At 38.9% G+C, this 13,805-nt stretch overlaps 1 protein-coding gene across 8 annotated transcripts in view, besides 1 other annotated feature; it reads left to right on the top strand.

The window, feature by feature from the left end:
- GLI3 (GLI family zinc finger 3) overlaps window positions 1-13,805 on the top strand; it is a 303,320-nt gene that overhangs the window by 188,653 nt on the left and 100,862 nt on the right. The window lies entirely within an intron of this gene.
- Window positions 9,119-9,772: an enhancer, noted in NCBI's record as "OCT4-NANOG hESC enhancer chr7:42105443-42106096 (GRCh37/hg19 assembly coordinates)". NCBI's record gives its function as "activates a minimal SCP1, AML or CMV promoter by ChIP-STARR-seq in primed H9 embryonic stem cells {active_cell/tissue: H9 hESC(primed)}" and the evidence as "EXISTENCE:reporter gene assay evidence [ECO:0000049][PMID:30033119]".

Below are 13,805 nucleotides of genomic sequence, written 5' to 3'. Positions count from 1 at the left end.
TGTGACTGATCCTTTGAGTTTTCACTGGAACACAAGTAAGTATTTACAGGGTTCTGAAGCCTGCTAAAAATACCCTCTAATAAAACCAGGAGGCCAATTTAAAATTCTCTATACAAAGGGAAGGAAATTCCTAGTTCAGCCTGAAACATGACATGTAATTCACCCCATTATACAGAGGTTTTATGATACAGATGTGACCACATGGGTCTCAGATGAGGATCTGCCCCATGGTTCAGAGCATGCAAGGGCCAGATAGACCTCGGAGACATGGATGGCTAATTCCTCCCAGACTGGAGCCTTTGTGATGTACTTAATTTAAGTCAGATTTTCTCCGGAATTTTGGAGTTCTTCATTCTTTCAGAAATGATGTTCTAGAGCAATTTTTTAAAATGAGTTTATATAATAGGCTGAACTATTTCCTCTGCATTCATTATAGTTTGCCTTGTAATTAAATTCAAATATGAATTTATCAATAAAAACCCCAAGTCTTGGTTCTATGGCGGAATATAACAGCAAGCCCTCCTGTAGCCCCCACTGTGTGTTCTAGGCCCTCATTACTGACCTGCATTGGCCCGTGGTGATAACATCACGAGACAAGATGCGTCACATCTGGACCATCCTCGTAGGCAGAGTCGGGGGAGTCACATTTCAGGTGTGACTGTTGAGCTGGGTTTTCTTTGGATTTTAGTTCTTCCTGCTTTTTTAGCCAGGCTTTGGATACTTTACTAGCATCTGACTAAATGGTTCTCTAGCAGCCTAAATGTATAATTATCAAAAAGATTGATGATGTAAAGCTGATAGATAATCCTGAGCCTCAAAAGACAAGTCCTGGAAGATTCTGAGAGGGAATATCATTGCTGCGGGCACAGAGAATGGTGAGCTTATGGGTTTGTGGCCTCCTGGGACTGCCTGGTTTTAGTGCATCCTGGCAGGGCCCTGGGTGGACGCTATGCTTATGAAGTGGGCCCCAGCAAGCTGGGGCATGTCACGCCCCTGTGTCTTTGTGACTGACATTCTGTCTGCATTGGTCTCAGTGGCCTTCCCTCTCTGCATGGTGAACTCCTGCTTATATTCATCCTCAAGGCCTAATTTAAGGGCCGTCCCAGAGACTCGCATGTAGCTTTGTTGTGATGCTTTTCCTCTTGCTTGGTGATTTATTGTTAACGGTCACTGCTCCCTTCTAGTTTCAGGGGCAGTGCCCAGCACTTGGTCAGGCACTTTGTAAAAGGTGCTCAGTGGACACTCACATTGGCCCAGTCTGAGAGACAGTGGAGGAGCAGTCAGAGAGCTCGAATTCCTGTTCTTGTGTTGCCACTCACTTGTGCTGTGCACTCTGGCCACTGACCTTTGCATGTGTTGGTTTCGTAACGTGGAAATGAAGCTGTCTGCTGTACCCACCTCTTCAGATCACAGGGAGAGTTCAATGAAATAATGTTCATGTAAGCACTCTGAAAAGCACAGAGCTCTAAATAAATGCTGAAGGTTGGCATTCCAGGCAGTGGGGGGCATGAAAAATACTGGGAGTTTCTATTCTGCCCTTGCTCAGTTATGAGACCCTGGGTTGCTCTTGCACCTTCTGAGGTATGATAAGTAGACACCTGTGATCACCTTGAAAGTGGAGGCTAATCGAGGCAAATGTGGCTTGGTTATAGAAATCTTAAAAGCACGTATTTGCTAAGGGATGAATCAGTTACCTGGGAAAGTAAAATCACTTCATCCAAAACTTGAATTCCAAACTGTTTGCTATATAATTGTCTTATAGAAAATGAGATCAAGTGAAGAGTACTAAGTTTTTGCAATATTTTTAATTCTAAGAAGACAAAATTTGGAGATATTATCATTATTTTGTACACACAATTGTTCTTCTGGTGCCAGCTTTAAAAACTAAATTACGAGTCTCCTAAAAACAAGGATTTGTGTTGATGGAAATGCCGACAGATCTCTGTTTAGAAGAAGGGCAGGCGCTTCTATAATTATGCTATCATATCCTATCATTAAAGATTCTATTGAAAGAGGTTTATAAATTGCTCCTCTTTTTAGATAAACCACCCTATATTAAGGCATCAACGATATGGTGCAGAATTAAATTAAAATCTCATAAAATGAAATATGTTTCGTATTAGCTGTTTGACACTTAATTTGCCTCTGAATGAGTAGAGGAAATCACAAATTAACCTGCCTTTGTTTTTCCAACCATGGCTTATTAGGTGTTAGAACAACTGCAATTACAGACTAATAATAACCACTAAGCCTTATAAATATGTACGGAAATACGTCAGTTTGTGTTAAAGAACCCAGTTTGCTAAACGGAATGCCTTCAGCTTGCCCTGCTTATTCTTACGGTGTTATCCACAGTTTATGGTTAGGCAGTGTAGAATGAGTATAGAAACTTGAATGGATTCAAATACATCACTAGAAATAATTTATAATTTATTGGCATTTTGTTTCTTAAATCAAAATTGTGAATTTAGACTCAGAACTTCTAAGTAGGACCTGGAATATAAGTAGTATTATTCTCTGAGTTGTCACGTAAAGGTTGTTATAAAATGTACAATTCCTGCATTGTATTTGTTTAATTCAAGTAATTTGAAAATTAAGAAACACTGGATATGAGGAATCTTCCCGTTTCCTCGGAAAGTTATTCTCCACTGAATTCACCAGGTCTTAGGCCCAATAAACAAATGGAATGTTGCTCTCTCTCCCTCTCTCTCAAATCCTTTGAGAGACTTGTTAAGCTAGATTGCAAGAAGTATAATGTTTTAGAAAAAATATCAGAGTGAGTCTACTTTATTACTGAGATTATTTTGTGCATTAATGAAAGAACCTGAATCTATACACACATACTCTTATTTTATGTGTATATTTTTACTTCTTGGTCTCTGTATTTCCTGCCTTGCATTGTTGACATCAGGGCTGTTCCTTCCCTAACTCGAGGAGACACTACTGTATTCTATGGGAACAAATGATGCCTGCTAGGCTAAAAATAAGTACTAATTTTTAAAATTTCACTTGGGAATGTAGGCAATTGGTATATTACAGCCTACTACCCCAGAATACAATTGCATTGTCAAGTGGCTACTTTCCACAGTAATAATTAAAGTACTTTCTCTCTTGCATTTTGAGTGTGTGTTTTTTGTTTTTTAGTGTTAGAACTCAATTAAGCATGCTTCCTTTTTAAAAGTAGGCATGGTGTATTTGTAGAAACCCAAATTATAAAGTAGCTTTAAATTCCAATTTGATTTCATTCATTTTGGATTTTTCTTGGGAAAAAGAAATGTAGCCCTTATGTACAATCTTTCTGAGCCAAGGTTTTCTAATTTATGGACCAGTATTAATTGAATTTCGAACTGTCTTTCTGTTTCATACTGAGATCTGCAATTCATTTTCCAAAGCAGGGTCCTTGGTTACTAATCCATTGCAATAATTAAGCCCCACCAATCTTCTTGCCAGTCGAGCTGTGAGCTGCTCTTGCTTTGTGCTGTGGATGTGAACAGTACTGCACCCCAAGCCAGCTCACATAAAGGCTGTTGCATTTCACCATCCACTTTACTAATCCACTTTCGAAAACCAGCTTTTCTGTCTTAGGGAAAATGAGCACTCATGTTCTGTTCTGTACGTCAGCCCTTTTTTTTTCTTTGTTGAGTCAATGTGTCTCCTTCCAAGGCTGCCTGACACTCTCTGGAATCATTCCACCTAAGTAAGGAGAGCTGTTCTTCCCACTAAAAGTGGCCACCTCCCTTCACCTCAGGGAGAGGACTCAGTATTATGAAGATCATTAATATCAGCTGTGAGACAGAGTGCACTGGAAATAGGTAAGGCCTCGCCCCCGTAATTATGGCTGCCTGTTAGGGATGAGAGCAGGGAGATGAGAGGCAAGTTTGGCATATGAATAAATACATTTCTTCCCAGAGAGAAAAAGCTCTAAGAAAAGGTATATCATTATGGTAAAAGCTTAGAGAAGGAAATAGTAAGTAGATGACCAGGGCTACTACTGAGTTCCCCTCCCCTAAATTTAGCACGTTGCTTGTCCTGGTATTATCTTTACTGAGAGCTCACATACTTATTCCAAAGGAGCCTCTTCAGTCTAGCTGCTTACTGAAAACACTATATTGGGCCTGTTCATGTAATAGTGATTTCATTCGTTGCATTCTTAGGGAAGTTTCCGGTAAAATATGGAGATTTAGTAAAACCTTATAATTATATTTGGGGTCAAAACTAGTTTGGAATATTTTAATAGTGTAACTTAAAATTAACAAAGGAAAGTTTCCCCCCGCCTCCTCCACCCAGTGTTTGTGCTTTACCATAACATTATTAAGACTGGTAAAGTGTAATGACATATCAAATTGCAAAGTCTAGCAAATACTGTAGCAAACCCTAAAACACTCCCCACCGCCCCCCCAAAAAAGAAAAAGAAAACATGAACTAAATTATAATTACATCTCTCAGGGTGAAGACGATCTGTGTATTTCTTTGCATTTGCTAGGCTGAGCCCATGCTCTACATATGGTAGCTCCTAAATAAATATTATTTTTAATGATGATAAAAATAATAGGGTCACTGCTATGACCATCATTTTTCTTTTGTTTCTGTTTGAGTGTGTCACCTCGTGCCAACAAGCTAGGATTCAAAAAATAAAAGCTCAGTGACTACTTTTGATAGAATAGATTCTATTAATAGTAGCTATTGCCACATCAGATGCTCTCCACTGTCAAACTAATTTCCTGATATTAAAGCAGTTACTGGTCCCCTTATATGACTGAGTGCTATTTAATGTATTGCTGCTTTCCAGAGCCGACACATGGAAATAAAATGAATGAAATTAGCCATCTTAAATGAACAATTTAAGAAGACCATAGCAATATCAAAGATAAGGGCAAAAAAGAGATGAATAGATAATTCAGATGAAAAAGTATATAATCATGACCATAGCTGACATTTTTGAATACTTACTATAGGCTAAGCACAATATTAAAGACTTTATGTAGTCATAATATTTATGTGTGTTAATATTTATAACAACTCTATGCTGGAGTTATTAGTCTCATTTTAAAGACATGGAAACCTTGACATAGAGAAGTTACTCAGCTTACAAGTAGGTAGTGCCCTTGAGTTAACCCAGGCATCAGACTCCACACCCTTGCTCCGGACTTCCATGCCTTGCTAGTGAAAATGAAGACCACAGACTTGGCTGCTCTAGTTTCTACTTCCTGGATGAGCACAACTATTTCTAACAGTACCTGATAGGAAGTTTTCAGTGTTACTGGCTGTCATTGTCTTCTGCAAATTCCCAAGGTGGAAATACAGCAGTGTGCGAAGAGCCATAAAAAGCCACGTTCAGGCCTTTTGACCTAATGTACCTATTGAGTAACCCAAAAATGAGATGCTTATCAGTCTTTGCTGCTGTAGAATGTATGACACTATACAATAGAACAGTTTACATATTCAGCCACTGGAGTGGTTTGGTAAATTGTGATTCATCAACTGGGTGGAGTGTTGACCAATACTTAATCACATTTGAGAAGACTCTGTTAGAACATGGGTAGATAATAATTAGTGATTATAGCGGTAAACCCAATAGAAGGGAAGCCATGTTAGAACACAATGTGTATCTGCGTAGAGCCTTCTTCCTTCAGATACCTATGGCTTGCTCCCTCCCTTCACACATTTCCCTGCTCAGTTTCTGCTTCTCAGAGAGGTCTTCTGTGAACAACTACTTAAAACAGGGATTGGCAAACTGTGGCCTATGGGCCAAATACGGTTCATGGCCTGTTTTTGTCAATAAAGTTTTATTGGAACACAGTGACATTCCTTATTTAGTATTATCTGTGGCAGCTTTAGCAATACAAGGGCAGAGTTGAGTAACTGTGACAGAGAATATGACCTGGAATGCCTGAAAGATAAAAGTTTGCCAACCTTGGTCTAAAATAACACCCCCTCTCCATCTTCACTCTGTACTTCTTTCTCTGCTTTATTTTTCTCTTTTTTATGAGCAATGCCATGTGTCATGTTTTCTACTTTTATGCTTTTCTACTGCTATTGTTCACATTTTTCACTGCATATCATGTCAAATCAAAAAATAAATGTCTTATTATTTGGTTATCATTTCTCGTGATTAACTGAAAAAGTTTAAGTCCTGCCTAATTTTCAAGAACTATCTTAGGCCACCTACATACATAGTTTCCTCATAGTTAGGAAAAGATGGTTGAGTTTCAATTCCTAAACTTTTAAAATTCTGATGAGCGGGCACATAAATCCAGATCCGCCGATACACACTTTACTTTGCGTTAAGAAACAACCACAAAACAGATAAATTGTACTCAAAGGGTGTATACTCCTTTCTGTTTTGCAGTATTTCTAATGACTGAAATACTGAATTCGGTCCTCAGTTGCAGAGAAAGCAGGCCCTAATTATAGTGTATATTCAGAGTCTGAGCCCCAGCTTCTTGGATAAAATTCCTGTGTTCTTTGTGCTGCGCTCAGCAGCACGGTCCAGGAGCAGATATTGACTGAGGTATTCACGTTCACTGAACCGGAAGCCGCCGACTCTATAGAGGCTGCTGTCAAACCTGTTGCGGGGGCCTGGGAGGTACTGGGCTGTAACAGACTTTTTTCTTTGAGTACAATGCTTCCACTCATGTTAAGCCTGGCTTCAAAGAAAACAGAAATTTACTGTTGTCATTTTATTTATTTTTTTAAGTATGTGTTTGAGAAAACTGAACTTTAACAGAATTTGTCCTGATGGGAAGACACTTTGAGGTTAGGTTTATATGGTGAATACTGCCTAAACTGAAGCTCCCTGCAGCCTTTCCTATGTGGCCGTCTCTCCCTCACTTAGGTAACAGAGCCCCACTTTTTTCACCTAAACAAAGACATGCCATTTCCTATAGCCACACTGCAAGCTGAGTTCATTTCAGACCTTTCCTCGGGGGAACAAAGGCCAATGACACAGGGCTGCCTGTCACTCATTGTTGTTATTGTTGCATCCCCATCCCTGCCCCGGGGAAAATCACACATCAGAAAATAAATGTTAGCAGATATGTTTCCAGGAACCTGCTTGCTAACTTTTTGAGTATGAAGTAACAGATTAGCCAGATTTTGGATCTTCAGTGACCCAAGCAAGCTAAGCACACTAAAAGGAAATAGGAGGAGAGAGGTGGATTTTGAAACTCATCCTTGGAGCTCTGAGAAAACTAGGGATGTTTTGGCAGAGAGCTATACTGAAACAAATTTGAAAAATACAATCTTGGCCATTTTTAGTTTTGATGTGGACTTTGCAAAAGGCAGACCAGAGCAGAAATGGGCATGATTGTGTTGCAGTTCAGTAAAAATTAACAAGTTAAACGGCTTACTGGCCTGTGTTTACCTCCTGTGCTGACTTAGCTAATTTGGTGACATTGCCTCAATTTTTATAACTCTGTGTTGAAAAACATCAAGTGCGATGCTAGAAATATACTCTGCCTCTTTTCTCTTGTGTGTGTCTACACACGTGTGCAGGAAGAAAATAATGCAGGGAGAATGGTCAGAGTGGCAGGAACTGCCTTAGAGCATGTGAGTGCATTTCCAATAAAGATAAAAGTGAGTGTCTAACCCAAAGCCATAGGTTTTTAAAAATCCCATCACCTAATATTTTGGCATGTGCAGCATCACACATGTTTATAAGTGACAGATATTTAAAATTTTCTTATGCAATACAGGGAGGTTACAGATTCACTAAAAGAAAAAGTTCTCAGTTGGGACTCTTACAGGGAATGGAAGCCTGGCCCCAGACTGAAAATCTGAACTAATACCAAAATGAATTGTGTGTACAGTTGCCCTTGAAGACATTCTCTTTAAGGCTTTTTTTTTAAGGTTCCCCCATACAGGGTCCCTCATTGCCTGGAAGCACCTGTAAATTGTTCCTAAGGAGCCCTGTGCATACCATGGCCAAGTCTAGTATGGCCTAGGTAGCCAGCCTAAGGGAGTTAGGTTAACTGGGCACAGTAAATGATTCCCTCAGGCCTGACAAGGTTAATATGTCTTTCAAAACCTGGGAACAAGTTACACATGAAACAGGAAAACTGCCAATATTCTTCTAAATACATTCAAATAGTATCCAAATATTGCCAAGTTCACCATAAGTGAATAGTATCTCTATCATCTGATGGGGAGTGGGGAGAGGGAAGCTCTAGAGTTAAATGAATTGCCTCATTTGCAAAACAAATCACCAAACCATGTTGCTTGAATATGCTTTACATTTTTAAGACAGCATGGAAATAAACATTTCCAGTTTACTAAAATGCTTCTTGCCTCTGTTCAAAGTAATCTCTGGTTCCCCCACAGAGCAAAATCCCCATATTCCTAGCACCCATTGTCGTTAACATATACTATGCACACTAAGGAAAGTTTTCAGGAACAAATTTAGAATTGTAAGTCCATAACGTAAGCAATCAGACCTCTGAAGGGGCCTCTGATTTTTCATATGTTATTTGCCAGGGATATAACAAATTAATATTAGAGTTATGTTGGATTATGTTAATACTTTTATTACCTGCCATGTTGTATTGATTTATTTAAAGTAAGTATTTTATGTTTTTTTATATATCTTCACTATGTTACTGTATATGCGTATGTACCCGTACAGCACTCACTTCTGTCTGTGTTCCTTGTAGCACTCTAAGCCTGTCCTTGGGATTAGTCAGCCAAAGACAGCATGGTCTTCCATCTTAAAGGAAGTAGTCAAGAGGGGGAAAAGAAGGTCAGCCTCAAGTATTTTAATCTTGTTTTAATGACCAAAGTCATTTCAGGGCTGCAGTGATACACGTAGTCATTGGATTGAGGGAAGAATAGTCCAAGTCAAGAGTCCACTGGAAATAGAAGAGTGAGGCTGGAGCTGTGAGCAGAGGTGCAGCCTTCTTCAGAAAGCCATGCTAGGCTCCATTCTCGCAATTGAATAGCTGCACGGTTGTGGATGTTGTATACTGTTTGTGAGAGAGAATTTTCAAAGTTTAAATCCTTGAACACTTCTGGAGTCTCTCTTCATCCTCTGGAATGTGGGGAGCAGGCTGTGGGGATCTGACCCAGGAGGTGGGTACACTTCCAAAGGCCTTTTCGTGATCTGAAGTGCGATCCAGAGATGCACTGCACCATATTTAATTTGTGTTAACCTCCCCACCTTTCCCCATCTTTTAACCCAGACAGACTGGACTTTTTAGTTACTTAGGTTATTATTGGTGGTGGTTTCTGTGTTTGTTGGAGGAGGGAGTTGAGTTGGAAGTTGGGAGTTGTGGAAGTTGAATTGGAAGGAGTGAAAAGTAGAGTCCACCCCCTTCCCCCGAGTGTATTGGAGAGAAACATCCTTCCTTGGTCTGTTTGCTTTGCAAGGGTGTCCTTTGATGAGGTCTTTGTCCTAGGCACCCACTGAAGTCTCAGTGTACTCAAGCTTTAGAAAAGCCTATTGGCCCTTCTTTGTTTTCTTTGTTGAACTGTTTATTTTGCTTTCTTCCCATGAGGTTCCCTGGCCTTGCTCTGACAACGCTTTTCTGCATGAATTACATTCCTCCGAGCCACAAGTCTCCTAATTCTTCCAGTCCATTTGATTCCGGCCTGTGTGATTAGTCCATGGCTTCGATCCGCTGTGGGTCTCTGCCAAGCAGAGTGCTTGCTAAGTGCCCCTAACGTGGAGACCTAAAGACATTTTTTAACCTCATTAGTGAGGAGAGTAGTGCTTCATTCTAGTTTAATAACATGGCTACTCGAATCATTACTAGCCTTAAAATCAGTGAAAGAGGCTACTAAGTCATTTGGTTTTCTTTCAGTGTGAATAAGGCTATTGAAGGAGGGTAGTTCAGGTGTTACACTCAAGCCCAAGTTAGTAACATAAATCATCCCGTGTAGGGTGAGAGGGGAGCCCACTAGCTCCATTTGAGTTAAATTTACATATCTAAAGAATTTCATCATAATTTGCATAAAATGGATTGCCTTATGTATAGAAATAATGAACAACAAAAACAAAATTATTCGAGTATCTTACTATAACCACTACATTTTCTTGTACATATGCTATTTTTTGAAGCATGGTTTATGACTGGGACAGAAATGAACAGCTGATAAACTTATGAACTATGTTTTTAACTCTATTAACAAAGAGTAAATATTTTATTCTTTAATGCATTATACCCTCAATGTAGATAGTGGTAAAACATTGTGATATAGCTTGACAAAATTCAGCTGTCTTAAAAGCAAAATTCTTATGAAGGGTACATTCAGTTGTTTTTACTTGCTTTTTTGTGCATGAGAATTTCTACTCTTAACAAGCAGGTGGGGTGCATTGTAGCTAACCAGGGGTCTGCATTTATTGATAATGTACCTGGGAGCAGTTTTAATAATAATTTAAAAGTATTAAATAATAATATTTAATTAATATTAAAATAATAATTTTAATAAATTATAAATAAAATATAATTTTTATAAAATAAAAATAATAAAAAAGAGGACCAAAAAGTTTGTCAGGAATGATTGAACACACAGTCTGTGATGAAAATGATACAGTATAAATACTTATTTTTAACACAGAAGCTCTTCCTTAAAGAACTGGGGAAGTACCAAGCAGTGGGGTCAGGGCCTGGTTTCATTGGTATCCTCTTCTTTTCTTGCTGGGCCTGGCTTGAACGAGGCTTCTTGGGGTCTGACCTCTGTGAGCCCCCAATATGGCTGTGCATCATTGGAGCACAGACGTTATTGTGAGGCTCTCTGCCTGTGTTCCATTTAGCAAATAAACACTTCACTGTACAGGATCAAGCTGCTTCTTCACAGAGGGAGGATTTATCAGGAAGATGGGAGTTAAACCTCTTTTGGCTAGAAAAGGCACTTCCTGCTTGGAGTGGGCTCTGCAAACAGAACCCCCAGTGAGCTGAATTGCAGCTTCCATAATACTTCCTGCGTAACACAGCTAAACATCCCTCATGAGTGTGACTGGATTATGGCTTTGCTGAATAGTTCCTTTGAGCACATCCCTTCCCCACCCAATAATATGTTGGTTACATTCACCCATGACAATGCTATTTGGTTGGGTTTCAAAGTGTAATTCCAGCAAACTCAAACATAGTGCTGTTGGCACATGGCTTCTCATGATCATCTTCGTAAAACAAGTTAATCATCTGTTTTCATAATACATGTGGACCTCAGTGAGGTTCCATTCTCAACTCTACCACAAGTTAACCGGATCCTTGAGCACTTTCCGTCATCTCTGCAGGCCTTGTTTTCATGTACAAAATAAATTAATTAAATGATCTTTAAGATCCTTTCTAGTTCTTAACATTTCATGATTATGGAAAAATTTAAATTTGTTCGTTGTTTTTTCCTAGAGTGTGGACACTTACAAGGGGATTCCATGAAAATATTGTGGCCCTGACACATGCATGCCCACATGCCATTTTTCTCCCTAAGCCATAAAGTTTGTTGCCTGCACTTTCCTTATGTGAAGCTCTGCTGAAAAGTCTTGCCTGAATGGTGGTCATACTTCCCTCATTACTCTTTATACTCTGCAAGTGACACTTTGTGTATACTGCAGCCACCAGTGTGACCTGCCATGGCACTACAATTTGAACATCAATTTAAATAGATTCCCTTTGGAAGTTAAGGTAGCTAGATAACCATACCATCCTTTTCTATTAAAAGCCTCAATAATGTTAAAAATGTAAGTGTAGGCATACATGCACATGTGTATCTGGTTTGGGGCAGTTTTTCTTTGGGTTTAAAAACATAGACTTTGAAGCATAGACTGGGTTTGAATTCAGCTCAGATACTTACTGTCAGATTACTGAATCTGTCTAAGCCAGTTTCACCATTCAATACCATTTTATATCAAGGATTCAGCAAAGGAGCATATATATAGCACTTAACACAGTGTCTGTCACAGCATAGGTATTTGACGAATGGCAGGATTGCCTACTACATATCTATCCCCATATTTAAATCATCTATTCTAAGTAGTACATCCCTTTTTCCATCTTTTAACATCTCTGAAGTTGGGATGTATTTTACAATCTATAGTGTTTTACAATTGCTTATTGGTGAAGTGGCAGTCATGAGGAAGTTCCAGGTATCTTTTAATAAAATAATTTTGCTTATATTTCCCTTTTTTGTACATGTGCTGGAATGATACATGTTTAAAAAATCTATGTCTGAATAATTCTAAAAGAGCTCTTTTAATAAGTAAAGTAAAAACCAAAAGTGATAGGGAACCATTATCTTTTTTTAGTGGTATCTAACACAATTTTGCACCTTTAGATCAGTAACATCTTAGAGTTGAGGATATGTAGTATGTCATATGTATTTGTGTGTGTACGTATGTATTTGGTCAAAAAATTGATTCATTGTCAAGATTTTTTCCCCTGAGAGCCCAGCCACATTTTCCTAAATGTTACAATAATGGACCTAGTTGCAAGAATGTAAAGTTAAAAATGTAAAGAGAATGTTTTCAAAATGCTATAGCTGCCTAAACCTTGCAAAATGAAAAACGAGCACTTCTTCAGCTTGGAACAGTTTATAAAGGAGGCAAGCATGTGTTGTGTGATGGTTATGCTGGTGTATTTGTGCAGATGCATAGCACAGGCTCTGAGAGGGTAAGACTTCATGATTAATGGTGTTTATTCTTGACAGAAGCCTCCTTTATTTATCTGCAATACAGTTTAGCGATTTTATCAGGCACCTGAATGAAAAATATTCAGTCATACCAATATTGCAGTGTAAATTGAGGAGAGTCACTTTTTATTATATCTTTCTGCCTTATCATCTGCACAGTAATTTTCTAGCAGAGGTTTGATATGGAAAGGCTGGATTTAGCTGTACTTGACACAAAGCCTCTTCAATTTCTCCTAAAAGTTCAGGCTGCTCTTAGAAATGTGTGTGTGTGTGTGTGTGTGTCTGTGTGTGTGTATAATATATAAACCTTCTCTCTTATCCAAGCAATTTCAGGATTTGAAAGAATAAAGATAAAATGCACAAACCTGGATGGGAGAAATGTTGTTAATATAAAAATAGCTGTGAACTCACTGGTAAAAGCTCCTTTAGTGTTGAAGCTTGTGGCTCAGTACTGAACCTTTTGCAAGGCTACGTGGTCCCACTTTCTTCTAATCAATCACCATCCAAATCCAGTTAGCATAAAGCCAGACCCTATCGTTTCTCCTGGGAGTAGTATCAAAGTTGAAGACCACAGTGGCCCAGAGAGGACATAAGTTGCTGCAATGATTGTGATGCTATTCTCGAGAAAGGAAAAAGAAAAGAGTTCTCATTTGTAGGATACTCAAGTGATGGGTCACTAAATTTTAAACAAAAGTGTATTCAAGCAACAGACTTTATAACATGGTCAAAGCTAAGCAATGACAGACAGGGGAATATGGTTTGAATCATAGAAAGCACTGGATTTTAGGAACAAATGGGGCCTTAAACCTTGTGAGTAGAATGGAGATCATCTACTCCAAAGCTTCTCATTTGACAGATGAAACAGTGAGGCTCAAAAAGCTGTTTTTGATAAGACCATGGTCCTGTGCACAGGTTTTCCAAGGGTAATATGAACAAGTAATTCTTGCACATCATAGACATTTCCAATCAGATGAATCTCTCCTCCTTTATGGTACTGGAAGACTTGCTTTCTCTCTGAAGAAGGAACTGCAGAAGGAGACTTTGTAGCTCCTTGTTAAGTAGCCAGACTCATTTTCAGTCCTCCATGATGCTGTTCTCTACGTCTTGAGCAAAGTTCCCGAAGGCCATGATAACAAGACCCCTAAGAAAAGTATCCCCTTATGTAGAAGTTGATGCTGCTTTTC

The sequence above is a fragment of the Homo sapiens genome, chromosome 7 (genome assembly GCF_000001405.40).
Source record: "Homo sapiens chromosome 7, GRCh38.p14 Primary Assembly".
NCBI lineage: Eukaryota > Metazoa > Chordata > Mammalia > Primates > Hominidae > Homo > Homo sapiens.
The sequence above is the reverse complement of the archived record's forward strand: the minus strand, read 5'-3'. Positions and strand labels throughout refer to the sequence as shown.